The sequence below is a fragment of the Homo sapiens genome, chromosome 5 (genome assembly GCF_000001405.40).
Source record: "Homo sapiens chromosome 5, GRCh38.p14 Primary Assembly".
NCBI classification, from domain to species: Eukaryota; Metazoa; Chordata; class Mammalia; order Primates; family Hominidae; genus Homo; species Homo sapiens.
Genome location: NC_000005.10, coordinates 69,151,544 through 69,166,349, shown reverse-complemented (window position 1 = coordinate 69,166,349; position 14,806 = coordinate 69,151,544). Strand labels below are relative to the sequence as shown.

Sequence of the window (14,806 nt, the reverse complement as noted above, 5' to 3'; positions counted from 1 at the left end):
AACATGTATTTGCCTCTCATGGGAAAATCAGGAAAAACTAAACAAAAAGACATTTTACCCCATTTGCTTTGTCATTTGCTCAGATTCTCTCTAGATCCAAAGAAAAACAAGAGGGTTCTTTTTGCCTTCTACTCCTCAAAACACACCAGCAGCTCAGCAATTGGAGGGGAGGCTGAAGGACAAAAACATTGCTATCCCATAGAGCAACGGTATAAGAGCCAATAGAGACTCCTGGCGCTGGAAGTCACGGATCCGAAAGAAGGCGCCCAATCATTTGGTTTCTTTGGATCGTTATTGAGTCTTCTGTCATCATAGTTCACCCTCCTACTCGAATGCCTCCCGTGGGGCCCTTACCCTTGCTCTCCTCTGCCTGGAATGCCCGCCTCTTCTTGCATTCAAGCCCCTGGGTTCTATTCAGGTAACTCCCATTCATCCTTCAGTTCTGTGTTCAACATCCATTCTCACTCAGTCTTTCTGGGTTTGATCAATCCTTCCTCGCCCCATGCAGGGGCGAGAGGCAAGGGGCGAAGCAGGATTACTTATCCTCTGTGTTCCAGTTTAAAAATTTTTTTTTTTACTTTTTTTTGAGACGGAGTCTCGATCTGTCGCCCAGGCTGGAGTGCAGTGGTGCGATCTCGACTCACTGCAACCTCCACCTCCAGGGTTCACTCCATTCTCCTGCCTCAGCCTCCCGAGTAGCTGGGACGGCAGGCGCCCGCCACAACGGCCGGCTAATTTTTTGTATTTTTGGTAGAGACGGGGTTTCACCATGTTAGCCAGGATGGTCTCGATCTCCTGACTTGGTGATCCGCCCGCCTCGGCCTCCCAAAGTGCTGCGATTACAGGCGTGAGCCACCACGCCCGGCCAAATTTTTCCTTTTATATGCTTTATTTTTTAGAGCAGTTTTAGGTTCGCAGCAAAACTTAGCAGAAAGTATAGAGCATTTCACCTGCCTTCCCCACTATTGACACCCCACATTAAAGTTGTACTTTAATTATAATCTGTTAACCTACATTGACACCACAGTATTACCCAAAGTCCATAGTTTACATTAAGGTTCACTCTAGGTGTTGTGTCTTCTACGGGTTTTGACAAATATATAATGACGTATAATGTCCACCCGCCTCAACCTCCCAAAGTGCTGGTATTGAAGGCGTGAGCCACTGCACCTGGCGGTCAGAATGGTTTCTTTTACTCAAATATGCATTTAAGGTTCTTCCATGTTTTTTTCATGGGTTGGGATCTCATTTTATTTTAGCCCTGAATAATATTGCATTGTCTGGATGTACTAGTTTATTTATTCAGTCACCTACTAAGTGACATCTTGATTGCGTCCAAGTTTTGGTATGAATATAACTGCTACTAACATCTGTGTGCAGATTTTTGAGTGGACGTAAGTTGTTTTTGTTTTTCGTTTGTTTGTTTGTTTTTTGAGACGGAGTCTTGCTTTGTTGCCCAGGCTGGAGTGCGGTGGCGCCATCTAGGCTCACTGCAAGCTCCGCCTCCCGGGTTCACGCCATTCTCCTGCCTCAGCCTCCCAAGTAGCTGGGACTATAGGCGCCCGCCACCAGGCCTGGCTAATTTTTTGTATTTTTAGTACAGACGAGGTTTCACCATGTTAGCCAGGATGGTCTCGATCTCCTGACCTCGTGATCCACCCTCCTCGGCCTCCCAAAGTGCTGGGATTACAGGCGTGAGCCACTGTGCCCGGCTGAGTGGACATAAGTTTTAAACTCATTTGGGTGAATACCAAGGAGCAAGACTGTTGGATCATATAGTATGTTTACTTTTGTAAGAAACCGCCAAACTGTCTTCCAAAGCTGCTCTACCATTTTGCATTCCCATCAGCAATCCTCACAAGCATTTGGTGTTGTCAGTTTTTAAAAAAATTGTAGCCATCCTATTAGGTGTGTAGTGGTAACTCATTGTTTTTTGATTTGCAGTTCTCTAATGACATATGATATTGAGTATCTTTTTCTGTGATTATAATCTGTATAACTTCTCTGTTGAGGTATCTGTTCAGGTATTTTGCCTAGTTTTTGTTTTGTTTTGTTTTTTGAGATAGGGTCTTACTATGTTACCCAGGCTGGAGTGCACTGGTGTGATCATAGCTCACTGTAACCTCAAACTCCTGAGCTCGGGCAATTCTGCCTCAGCTTCCCAAGTAGCTAGGACTGTAGGTGTGAGCCACTGTGCCCAGCTAATTTTTTTATTTTTTATTTTTTGTAGAGATGGGATCTCACTATGTTTCCAAGGCTCATCTTAAACTCTTGGCCTCACAAAGCACTGGGAATATATATATATATATATATATATATATATTTTTTTTTTTTTTTTTTTTTTTTTTGAGATGGAGTCTTGCTCTGTCGCCCAGGCTAGAGTGCAGTGGCTCGATCTCGGCTCACTGCAACCTCTGCCTCCCGAGTTCAAGTGATTCTCCTGCCTCAGCCTCCCGAGTAGCTGGCACTACAGGCGCCCACCACCACACCAGCTAATTTTTGTATTTTTAGTAGAGACCGGGTTTCATAATATTGGCCAGGCTGGTCTCAAACTCCTGACCTTGTGATTTGCCCGCCTTGGCCTCCCAAAGTGCTGGGATTACAGGCATGAGCCACCACGCCCGGCCGCACTGGGAATATTATAGGCATGAGCCACTTTGCCCAGCCTTTGCCCAGTTTTATTTTTGTTTTGAGACAGTGTCTCTATTACCCAGCTAGGGTGCAGGGGCGCAAACATGGCTTACTGCAGCCTTAATCTCTGGGTTCACCAGAGCCACCGCACCTGGCCTCAGACTAATATTCTTCTTTTTATTTTTTTTAATTATTTCTTTTTTTCTTCTTTTGTTGTTTTTATTTGTTTTTTGGACTAATATTCTTAATAGTACATTTTGTCATGTTTATTTTTAATTTTTATGCATACATAATAGTTGTACATATTTATGGGGTACATGTTATATTTTGATACAAGCATGCAATGTGTAATGATCAAATCAGAGTAATTGGGATATTTATCTCCTCAAACATTTATCATTTATTTGTGTTGGAAACGTTCCAACTCCACTCCTTTAGTTATTTGGAAATATACAGACTGGGTATGGTGGCTCATGCCTATAATCCCAGCACTTTGGGAGGCCAAAGCAGGAGTATCATTTGAGCCCAGGGGTCCGAGATCAGCCCGGGCAACCTGGCAAACCCCATCTCTACAAAAAATACAAAAATTAGCTGGGATTGGTGGTGTATACCTCTAGTCCTAGTTACTCAGGAGGCTGAGGTGGGAGGATCGCTTGAGTCTGAGAGGTTGAGGCTGAGTGAGCTGTGATTGCACTACTGCACTCCAACCGGGGTGACAGAGCAAGACCTTGTCTCAAAAAAAAATTAAAAAAGGCCGAGCATGGTGGCTCATGCCTGTAAGGAGCTCAAGGATTGCTTGAGCTCAGGGATTGCTTGAGCTTAGGAGTTCGAGACCAGCCTGGCCAACATGGCGAAACCCCATCTCTACAAAATATACAAAAATTAGCCAGGCATGGTGGCACAAGCCTGTAATTCCTGCTACTCAGGAGTCTAAGGCAGGAGAATCACTTGAACCTGGGAGGCGGAGGTTGCAGTGATTTGAGATCGCGTCACTGCATTCCAGCCTGGGCGACAGAGCGGACTGTTTCTCAAAAAAAAAAAAAAAAAGGAAATATATAAATATATACAATAAATTATTGTTAACTATAGTCACCCTAGGCCAGATCTAGGCTACGGAACACTAGATCTTATTCCTTCTATCTAATAGTACTTTTGTACCCATTCACTGTGATCTTTTTTTAAAATTTTAAAATTTTTGTATTATACTTTAAGTTCTAGGGTACATGTGCATAATGTGTAGGTTTGTTACATAGGTATGCATGTGCCATGTTGGTTTGCTGCACCCATCAACTCGTCATTTACATTAGGTGTTTCTCCTAATGCTATCCCTCCTTCAGCCCTCCAACCCCACTGACAGGCCCTGGTGTGTGATGTTCCCCACCCTGCGTCCAAGTGTTCTCATGGTTCAATTCCCACCTATGAGTGAGACCGTGTGGTGTTTGGTTTTCCGTCCATGTGATAATTTGCTGAGAATGATAGTTTACAGCTTCATCCATGTCCCTGCAAAGGACATGAACTCATCCTTTTTATGGCTGCATAATATTCCATAGTGTATATGTGCCACTTTTTTTTTTTTTTTTTTAGATGGAGTTTCACTATTGCTGCCCAGACTGGAGTGCAATGGCAAGTGATTCTCCTGCCTCAGCTTCCCAAGTAGCTGGGATTACAGCCATGTGCTACCACCCCTGGCTAGCTTTGTATTTTTTTTTTTAGTAGAGATAGGGTTTCTCCATGTTGGTCAGGCCGGTCTCGAACTCCAGAGCTTATGTGATCCACCCACCTCGGCCTCCCAAAGTGCTGGGTTTACAGGCGTGAGCCACCATGCCCGGTGCCACATTTTCTTAATCCAGGCTATCACTGATGGACATTTGGCTTGGTTCCAAGTCTTTCCTATTGTGAATTTCTGTTCTGACAAGTCTTTTTGATATTCCTTTCTTCAAATTCAGGCTGTATATTTGGAATTATGAAATAATTAAGATGACTTTTACACCCTTTAAATGCCTTAGGCGTTTCCTGGGTTTCCATTGTATTTCAAGGAAACTACAAAAATTTACTACTTCATCTTATAAGAGATAATGACAATAATTAGATTTGCTTGGCATTTTCTAGATTTTAACTAATCCAAAACTTTTGTCAGAGCTATTTTATCTGCCAAACCCGGAATATTTTTTTAAATGGACAATTCAAGAGCTCTATTTTGCTTTTCTCTTTTATTTATTTAATTTGTTTTTTTTAATGGAGATAGGGGCTCACTATATTGACCAGGCTGGTCTTGAACTGGCCTCAAGTGATCCTCCCATTTTGGCCTACCAAAGTGCCGGGGATTACAGGCATGAGCCATCACACCCAGCTCTATTTTGCTATTTTTTTAGTGAAAATATACTTTAAGTTTGAGAGACATATTTATATTCATTTATAAAAGTTGACACATTAACTATAGGCCAGGTGTGGTGGCTCAGGCCTGCAATCCCAGCACTTTGGGAGGCTGAGGTGGGCGGATCACCTGAGGTCAGCAGTTCGAAACCAGCCTGGCCAACATGGCAAGACCCCTGTCTACTAAAAATACAAAAAAATTAGCCGGGCATTCTAGTGCACGCCTGTAGTTCCAGCTACTTGGGAAGCTGAGGCAGGAGAATTGCTTGAACCTGGGAGGCAGAGGTTGTCCAGTGAGTGGAGATAGTGCCACTGCACTCCAGCCTGGGCGACAGAGCCAGGCTCAGTCTCAAAAAAAAAAAAAAAAAAAAGGCGGACACATTAACTATCAATTTTTTTTTCGCCTCCTTGTTGCTCGCGGTTAAAAGGACCATCCGCAGGGGGCCAGGCTGCCCCATTTATGCGCAAGCACGTGCTCTGGCACTGCAACCTGACCCCAGACACCAGGCGGAGGCACGGTGGGGTACAAAGGCAGCGCTTTTTTTTTTTTTTTTTCCTGCACGGAGTTTCACTCTGTCGCCCAGGCAGGAGTGAAGTGGCATGATCTCGGCTCACTGCAACCTCCACCTCCCGGGTTCAAGCGATTCTCCTGTCTCAGCCTCCAGAGTAGCTGGGATTATAGTCACATACACCATGCCCGGCTAATTTTTAGTAGAGACGAGGTTTCGCTATGTTGGCTAGGCTGGTCTCGATCTCCTGACCTCAAAGTGATCCACCCCCCTCGGCCTCCCAAAGTGCTGGGATTACAGGTGTGAGCCTCAATTGGTTTTAAGAAAAATTTTTGTTTTTATGATTAAATAACCTTGTGAATTGATATCATAATATACTTTGTGGTATAAATTAAGGAAACTCGTCTGGGCGCAGTGGTTCACGCCTGTAATCCCAGCACTTTAGGAGGCCGAGGCGTGCGGATCTCCTGAGGTCAGGAGTTCAAGACCAGCCTGGCCAACATGGCGAAACCCCATCTCTACTAAAAAATACAAAAATTAGCCGGGCTTGGTGGCGGGCGCCTGTAATCCCAGCTACTAGGGAGGCTGAGGCAGGGAGAATTGCTTGAACCCGGGAGGCAGAGGTTGCAGTGAGTTGAGATGGTGCCACTACACTCCAGCCTGGGTGCGATAGCTAGACTCAATCTCGATTTTTTTTTTTTTTGAGACGGAGTCCTGTTCTGTCGCCCAGAGTGGAGTGCAATAGTGTGATCTCGGCTCACTGCAACCTCCGACTCCTGGGTTCAAGCGATTCTCTTGCCTCAGCCTCCCGAGTAGCTGGGATTACAGGCGCCCACCACCACACCCAGCTAATTTTTTTGTATTTTTAGTAGAGATAGGGTTTCACTATGTTGACGAGGCTGGTGTCGAACTCCTGACCTTGTGATCTGCCCGCCTCAGCCTCCCAAAGCGCTGGTATTACAGCTGTGAGCCACCGCGCCCGGCCTTAGACTCCATCTTAAAAAAAAAAAAAAAAATTAAGTAAACTAGCAGTTGTCAATACTCTCACAGTTGATCCATATTGTGTTCCTTTTTTTGTAGGATGAGGTCTTGCTATGTTGCCCATGCTGGTCTTAAATTCTGGGCCTCAAGCAAGCCTCTTGCCTTGGCCTCCCAAAGTGTTGGGATTACAGGCATGAGCCACTGCACTGGGCCCGTATTATGTTCTTATTGACTAAATACTTATAAATTGATGTGTAGTATACTTTAACAGAGGATTCTAGCTTTTTTCCATTCTATTATTATTATTGTAGTAAATCAACTACAGCCATTAAGTTTTATTAACCACAAGAGACCTCTGACTTTTTTCTCCTTGTATTTGCCTAGATGCTCCAGTTACAAATGATAGATCCAAAATTGTCTTCTGGAAGAAACATCACAAAACTTCAAAGGTATGTTGTCAAACTCTTGAAGAGCAAGAAAAAGGAAAAAAAGAAAGGAAATTAAAAAGCTTCAAAGGGTTAGTTAGTCTTAGTTGTTGCTATTACTGAGAATACAGCTATGGGTGCAGGCTTCTCAGTTTTAGCTCACGTTGTTACCCATTGTATACATGCATGTCAGAACTCAGGTAATTGAGTCAGGAATCCCAGGAACTTTTTGGTTCTAGGAGTAGATGAGTTTGTGGAAGCAGATTGCTTAATTCAAGACATTCCAATCAAGATTGGTGCTTATGAAATTGGGCTACAGGTTTACATTCAGTTTGATTGGATTAACTGCATATTTGGTTTAAATGACTCTTAGACACTTGGAAGCATACCTACAAAATTTACCAAAATTACGGGTTGTGTCCCTTATGCTAATGTAATGTTACTGGTTTTTTGTTTGTTTGTTTGTTTTGAGATGGAGTCTTACTCTATTGCCAGGCTGGAGTGCAATGGTGCAATCTCAGCTCACTGCAACCTCCGCCTCCCGAGTTCAAGCGATTCTCCTGCCTCAGCCTCCTGAGTAGCTGGGACTGCAGGCGCACGCCACCACACCCGGCTAATTTTTGTATTTTTAGTAGAGACGGGGTTTCACCATGTTGGCCAGGATGGTCTCGATCTCTTGACCTTGTGATCCACCTGCCTCGGCCTCCTGAAGTGATAGGATTACAGGCGTGAGCCACCCAGCCCGGTCAGTAATGTTACTATTAATGTAGGTCTTGACCAGAAGAAGGAATGAGGCCTCTGGAAGTGGTTTATATGCCATTTTGGGAATTTAATCATATTGCTAGTCTTTCAGATGACTGAATGTTCTGTCAACCCTATGCCTGTTGAAATACAAATCTTCAATTAGCAGTCAGACACAATGGTTTCCATTCCTTCATGTACTAGTCTCAGCCTTGCATTGGAGGTGCCTAGTTTAGAATGCTGTGTTAGAAACTGCCCTTTACAGTGGAATTGGCAAATGAAATTGTGTAGACAAGATTGTCTGCTATACTTGCTGAACAAAAAAAAGCTTTAATTCATTTGCTGCAATCATGCTAGACAACAGAATCACTTCAGGTTATTTACTGACTAAACAAGGCAGTGCTTAATACCAACTACTAACAACTGTTGCATTTGGAGAAGTGCTTCAGACTAAATCAATAGATCTCAGTGTAAAATCCAAGAATAGGCTGGGCGCGGTGCTTCATGCCTGTAATCTCAGCACTTTGGTAGGCCGAGGTGGGAGGATTGCTTGAGCCCAGGAGTTCCAGACCAGCCTGGGCAATGTAGTGAGACCCTGTCTCTACAAAAAATAAAAATTAGCTGGGCATGGTGATACAATGCCTGAGTAGTCTCAGCTAATCAGGAGGCTGAGGTGGGAGGATTAAATTAAATAAAATCGAAGAGCTAAGCCAATCCAAGTCAAGGTGGGGAAAACCAATCTGTGGAATTCTTTTTTCTTTTCTTTCTTTTTTCTTTTTTTGAGGCAGGGTCTCTCTCTGTCACCCAGGCTGGAGGGCAGTGGTGCAACCACAGCACACTGAAGCCTGGACCTCCCAGGCTTAAGCAATCCTCCTGCCTCAGCCTCCGAAGTAGCCGGCACTGCAGGTGTGCAACACCATGCCCAGCTAATTTTTAAACTTTTTGTGGAGACAGGTTCTCGCCATGTTGCCCAGACTAATCTGTGGAATCTTTTAGCAGGATTTGGGCTTTTGCTGATTTCGGATATACTGTAAACATTATTTAAGTTGTTACTAATGGTTGCTGTTGTCAAGTTATTGTTAGCAGGTATTTTTTTTTGAGATGAAGTCTCATTCTTGTGGCCCAGGCTGGAGTGCAATGGTGCGATCTCAGCTCACTGCAACCTTCACTTCCCGGTTCAAGCGATTCTCCTGCCTCAGCCTCCTGAGTAGCTGGGATTATAGGCGTCTGCAGCCACAGCCAGCTAATTTTTGTATTTGTAGTAGAGATGGGGTTTCACCATGTTGGGCAGGCTGGTCTCGAACTCCTGACCTCAGGCGATCTGCCCGCCTTGGCCTCCCAAAGTGCTGGGATTACAGGCGTGAGTCACTGTGCCCGGCTGTTAGCAGGTTTTTTTATTTTATTTTTTAAATACTTGCCCACCCTTCATCTGCTGAATTTTTTTTTTTCTTTGAGACAGAGTCTCATTCTGTTGCCCAGGCTGGAGTGCAGTGGCACAACTTCAGCTCACTGCAACCTCTGCTTCCCAGGTTCAAGTGATTCTCATGCCTCAGCCTCCCCAGCAGCGGGGATTATAGGCATGTCCCACCACGCCTGGCTAATTTGTGTATTTTTGGTAGAGATGGCGTTTTGCCATGTTGGCAAAGCTGGTCTTGAACTCCTGACCTCAGGTGATCCACCTGCCTCGGCCTCCCAAAGTGCTGGGATTACAGACGTGAGCCATAGCACCCGGCCGTGAAATTTTATTTTACTTATTTGCTTGTTTATTTTTTGTTAGCACGTTGTAGTTTTTAAAATGTATTTTAGTTTATTTTTTTGAGACAGTCTCCCTCTGTTGCCCAGACCAGAGTACAGTAATGTGATCTCAGCTCACTGCAACCTCCGCCTTCCGGGTTCAAGCGATTTTCGTGCCTCAGCCACCTGAGTAACTGGAATTACAGGCGGGCGCCACCACACCCAACTAATTTTTGTGTTTTTAGTAGAGACAGGGTTTCACCATGTTGCCCAGGCTGGTCTGACTCCTGGCCTCAAGTGATCCACCCACCTCGGCCTCCCAAAGTGCTGGGATTAAGGCGTGGGCCACTGCGCCCGGCTTGTACACAGGTTTTGAAGTGCCAGTTGTTGTGCAGCCACCATCCTGTTTTACGCATTCAGGAATTCTACAACAAAAAATTAAGATTATTCTGATAAACAAGATGGAATCTTGTGAGAATGACATCTGAAAGAAACTAAGATGGTAGCTAAGATTTCAGAACCTGATCATGTGTTGACCCTTTGTGAGGTCATCCTGTTGTCTCAGGAAGAGGGACTATAAAAATTAATTTTTCACTTACAATAGCATTTGCTTAGGAATTATCGAAACTATTGCTTCATTGCCATAGGATCTAACTACTGAAGCTGATAAAATACCATGAACTTTGAATGACCCTCGGACGCCAGGCTTTTACTAGACCAAAGTGAAGACTCATTTTTGACTAATGCAAAATGGAACATCTTTTATCCTTTATTTTTTATTTTTTATTTTTTTTTGAGATGGAGTCTCACTCTGTCGCCTACCCTGGAGTACAGTGGCGCAATCTTGGCTCACTGCAACCACCGCCTCCCAGGCTCAAGTGATTCTGCTGCCTCAGCCTCCCGAGTAGGTGGGATTACAGGTGCCCGCCACCATGCCCGGCTAATTTTTGTATTTTTAGTAGAGACGGGGTTTCGCCATGTTGGCCAGGCTGGTCTCAAACTCCTGACCTCTGGTGATCTGCCCACCTTGGCCTCCCAAAGTGCTGGGATTACAGACATGAGTCACTGTGCCCAGCCGGAACATCTTTTAATCAAGTAGTTCTCAACTGGGGAATGTTTTGTCCCATGAGGGACATTTGGTTATGTCTAGAGACATTCTGAGTTTTCCCAACTGGGATGGCATCTAGTGGGTAGAAACTAGAGATGCTGCTAAACACCTTGTGATGCACAGGACATCCCTCACGGCCACCCACCATACACAAAGAATTATCCAGCCCAAGATGTCAATAGTGCCAATAGTGCCGAGCTTGAGAAATACCGTCAACTATGTACATACTCATACACAGACTCATTTCTACTCAGAATGCTAATTATCAGTGCTTAATTAGCATAACCACTGTGGATTACCTGCTCTCTTTATAACACTTAAAACTTCTGGCCAGGTGCTGTGCCTCACGCCTGTAATCCCAGCACTTTGAGAGGCCAAGGCAGGTGGATCACTTGAGGTCAAGAGTTTGAGACCAGCCTGGCCAACATGGTTAAACCCCGTCTCTACTAAAATACAAAAATAAGCTGGGTGTGGTGGTGCACGCCTGTAATCCTAGCTACTCGGGAGGCTGAGGCAGGAGAATCGCTTGAATCCGGGAGGTGGAGGTTGCAATGAGCCAAGATCGTGCCACTGCACTCCAGCCTGGGCAACAGAGCAAGACTCTGTCTCAAACAACAACAACAACAACAGTGACAACAACCAAACAAACAAACAAAAACTCCTGCATTTCTCCTCAGGGAACTATTAATATTCAATGTTCCCTCTCCTGACCAAGTTAATAATGTCAACTTCATACCAGTTACTGCTCTAGATGCTAAGGATATTGCTCTGAATATAACAGATCAGATCCCCGCTCTCATGAAGCTTACACTCTAGTCGGAGAGGCTAAACAAATGAATAAATAAGTAGAGGGAACAAACCAGGTAAAACTAAGTGGTAGGCAGAAAATTAAAAGAAAGTGACACAAATAGACTGGTTTGGTAGCTACTTTAGACTTTGGTCAGGAATTGTCTCTCTTGAGGAGGTGACATTTAAACTGAGGCTTAAATGACAATAAGGAGAACATCCCAGATAAAGGAAGTAGTCCGTGAAAAACACAAAGATAGAAATGAGCTTGTCATATTCAGAAAAGCCAGTGTGGCTAGAGTATAGAGGGGAAGTAGTAGAGATGCGGTTGAAGATGTTGGAAAGGGTAGGATTATACAGGTACTGTAAACCAAGGTAAGGAGTCTGGGCTATGATAAGTGCACTGGAAGCCTTTGCAGGGTTTAAGCCAAGGTGGGACATGATCTGGTTTATCTTTCAATCAGAAACTTAAGCATCATGCAATATACCTTTGTAACAAATCTGCACATGTATCCCCAATTCTAAAATAAAAGTTGAAAAAGAAAAAAAAATAGGGTAAATATGAAAAAAAAAGAAAGAAAAGAACAGTTAGAAGTAATATAAGAATGATAAAGTAAAGCTGGGTGCAGTGGCTCACGCCTGTAATTACAGCACTTTGGGAGGTTGAGGCAGGTGGATGTCTTGAGCCCAGGAGTTCAAGGTTAGCCTGGGCAACATGGTGAAACCCTGTCTCTATGAAAAATACAAAAATTAGCCAGGTGTGGTAGTGCACACCTGTAATCCCAGCTACTTAGGAGGCTGAAGTGGGAGGATTGCTTGAGCCTGGGAGGTCAAGGCTGCAGTGAGCCATGATCACACCCCTGCACGCCAATACTCCAGCTTGGGTGACGGAACAAGACCCTGTTAAAAAAAAAAAAAAAAAAAAAGAATGGCAAAGGGCAAATTATATGAAAATAAGGTAAAAATAATAACAAATGAACAAAAATATTACCTTAGCCACTATGGGGAGAATATATGGGGTAAGGGGAGGATGAAGGAGAGGTGGGAGGAGAAGAGAAGCAAGGGGGCCAGAAAGAGGCTATTGCAAGAGACCAGGAAAGATGATGGCTTGGATGGACTATTAGAGGTGGACAGAAAGGGATGGGCCAGCATATGTTATGGAAGTGGAGTTGCTAGGTCTTAATGGTTTGCATGCTTGAGTGAGAGAAATAGGAATCAAGGATGACTCCTGGGTTTTGGCTTGAGTAACTGAAATAGAAAAGACCAAGAGAGGACCACCTTTTAGAGGGTAGCAGGTTTTGGATAGGATATTATGAATTCTGAGGCCAGGCATGGTGGCTCACGCCTATAATCCCAGCACTTTGGGAGGCCGAGGTGGGTGGATCACCTGAGGTCAGGAGTTCGAGACCAGCCTGGCCAACATGGTGAAACTCCATCTCTACTAAAAAAACAAAAATTAGCCAGGCGTGGTGGTGGGCGCCTGTAATCCCAGGTACTTGGGAGGCTGAGGCAAGAGAATCGCTTGAATCTGGGAGGCAGAGGTTGCAGTGAGCTGAGATCGTGCCACTGCATTCCAGCCTGGGTGACAGAGTGAGACTCCCTCTCAAAAAAAAAAAAAAAAGAAAGAAAGAATTCTGCTGTATTTGGAACGCTTAGAGATATACAGGACCCAGCCAGGGCAACATAGTGAGACCTCATCTCTACAAAAAACTCTTTAAAAAATTAGCCTGGTGTGGAGGCATGCACCTGTGATGCTAGCTACTTGGGAAGCTGAGGCAGGAGGATCATTTGAGCTAAGGTGGTTGGGGCTGCAGTGAGCCATGATCACACCACTGTACTCCAGCCTGAGCGACAGAGTGAGACCCTGTCTCAAAAAAAAGATATACAAGAGGCGAGGTCTACTAGTCTACTAGACAGAGGTCAGGATGGGAGATATAATCCCTTTTTGCTGTAGAGGGCCTTTTATGCCTGACACAGATGAGATCATCTAGGGAAGGAACATACAGAAGAGTAGATGCCCAGAAGCAAGGTCTGGGCCTTCCATATTTAAAGATGGAGCGGAGGAAGAAAAGCCATCTAAGAATATTGGGCAAGAACACCAGAGAGGCAGGAGAACTGATTGTGGTATCTCAGAAAAGAGAAGTCAGTGTTTCACAGAGGGAGTAGTGATCTAACATGACAGACTAATACACACGTATCTTGGTTACTTCCTCAAGCTCTGCCAAAACAATGGTTTTTAAAAGATGCATGATGGCCAGGCACGGTGGCTCACACCTGTAATCCCAGAACTTTGGGAGGCTGTGGAGGATCACTTGAGCCCAAAGGTTTGAGACCTAGGCAACATAGTGAGACCCTGTTTCAAAAAAAAAATTAGCCGAGCATGGTGGTGGGCGCCTGTAGTCCCAGCTATTCAGGAGGCTGATGCGGGAGGATTACTTGAGCCTGGGAGGTTGAGGCTGCAGTGAGCTATGATCATGCCACTGTACCCCAGCCTGGGTGACAGAGTGAGACCCTGTCTCAAAAAAAAAAAACCGAAAAAACAAAAACAACAAAAAAGAATTGGTTGTTGATATTTTTAGCTGGATGAAAATATTTTTAAAATATAAAAAAGAATTTAAAAAAGAAAAGAATTGGTTGATTCCATCCTGCTCAGCTGAGTGCAGTAAGAGCACAACCTCTCCTTGGTCCTGGCAGACGACTAGAGGTTTATGTTCTGGAGTGGCTGAACTAAAGGGGTTCTGGATTTCAGGAGACCAGGCAAGCTGAGAGGGGCTTTAAGTAAAATTGTGCATACCAAATGGTAAGACCTCCAGTCGCCTTCTCCTACCCAGTCCCCAAAAGGCTGGCAGCTGGACTTATACCCTTCTAAGTGAAGTAAGAGAATGGTTTCTGGGGAATGGATCAGCCCAACAGAAAAAGTTCTAAAAATATTGATGGTTAGGAAAGGTCCCCATGAAATGACTGGGCCACCGCTTGGTTACCCTTATACTGAAGCTCACCACTTGACATGCTTGCACACTGACACAGAGCTTCTAATACATATATATGGAGAGAGAGAGAGAGAGAGAGAGAGAGGATCTTGCTATACTGCCCAGGTTAGTCTTAAACTCCTGGGTTTAAGTGATGCTCCTGTCTTAGCCTCCTGAATAGCTGGGATTACAGGCATGAGTTACTATGCTTGGCCTAATCTATATGTATGTATATCTTAGCCTCTCAAATAGCTGGGATTACAGGCACAAGTCAGTATACCTGGCCTAATCTATATATACAGATATATATAGATCTACAGCATTACTGGGCTTGGGGTGTCCCCTGGAGAGATAAAGAGAGAGAGGCAGACAGAGTCTCACTCTCTGGCCCAAGCTAGAGTGCAGAGGTGCGAACATGGCTTCTTTGCAGCCTCGACCTGCCGGTCTCAAGCCATCCTCTCACCTCAGCCCCCCAAGTAGCTTGGACTACAGGCAAGCACTACCACACCCCACTCATTTTTGTATTTTTTGTAGAGATGGTGTTTCACC

The 14,806-nt window shown here is 44.5% G+C and overlaps 1 non-coding gene across 1 annotated transcript; it reads right to left on the bottom strand.

The window, feature by feature from the left end:
- Window positions 1-5,410: 5,410 nt before the first annotated feature.
- SNORA50D (small nucleolar RNA, H/ACA box 50D) lies at window positions 5,411-5,542 on the bottom strand. The gene has a single exon (NR_145732.1). It is a non-coding gene; the product is annotated as a small nucleolar RNA, H/ACA box 50D (small nucleolar RNA).
- Window positions 5,543-14,806: the final 9,264 nt, after the last annotated feature.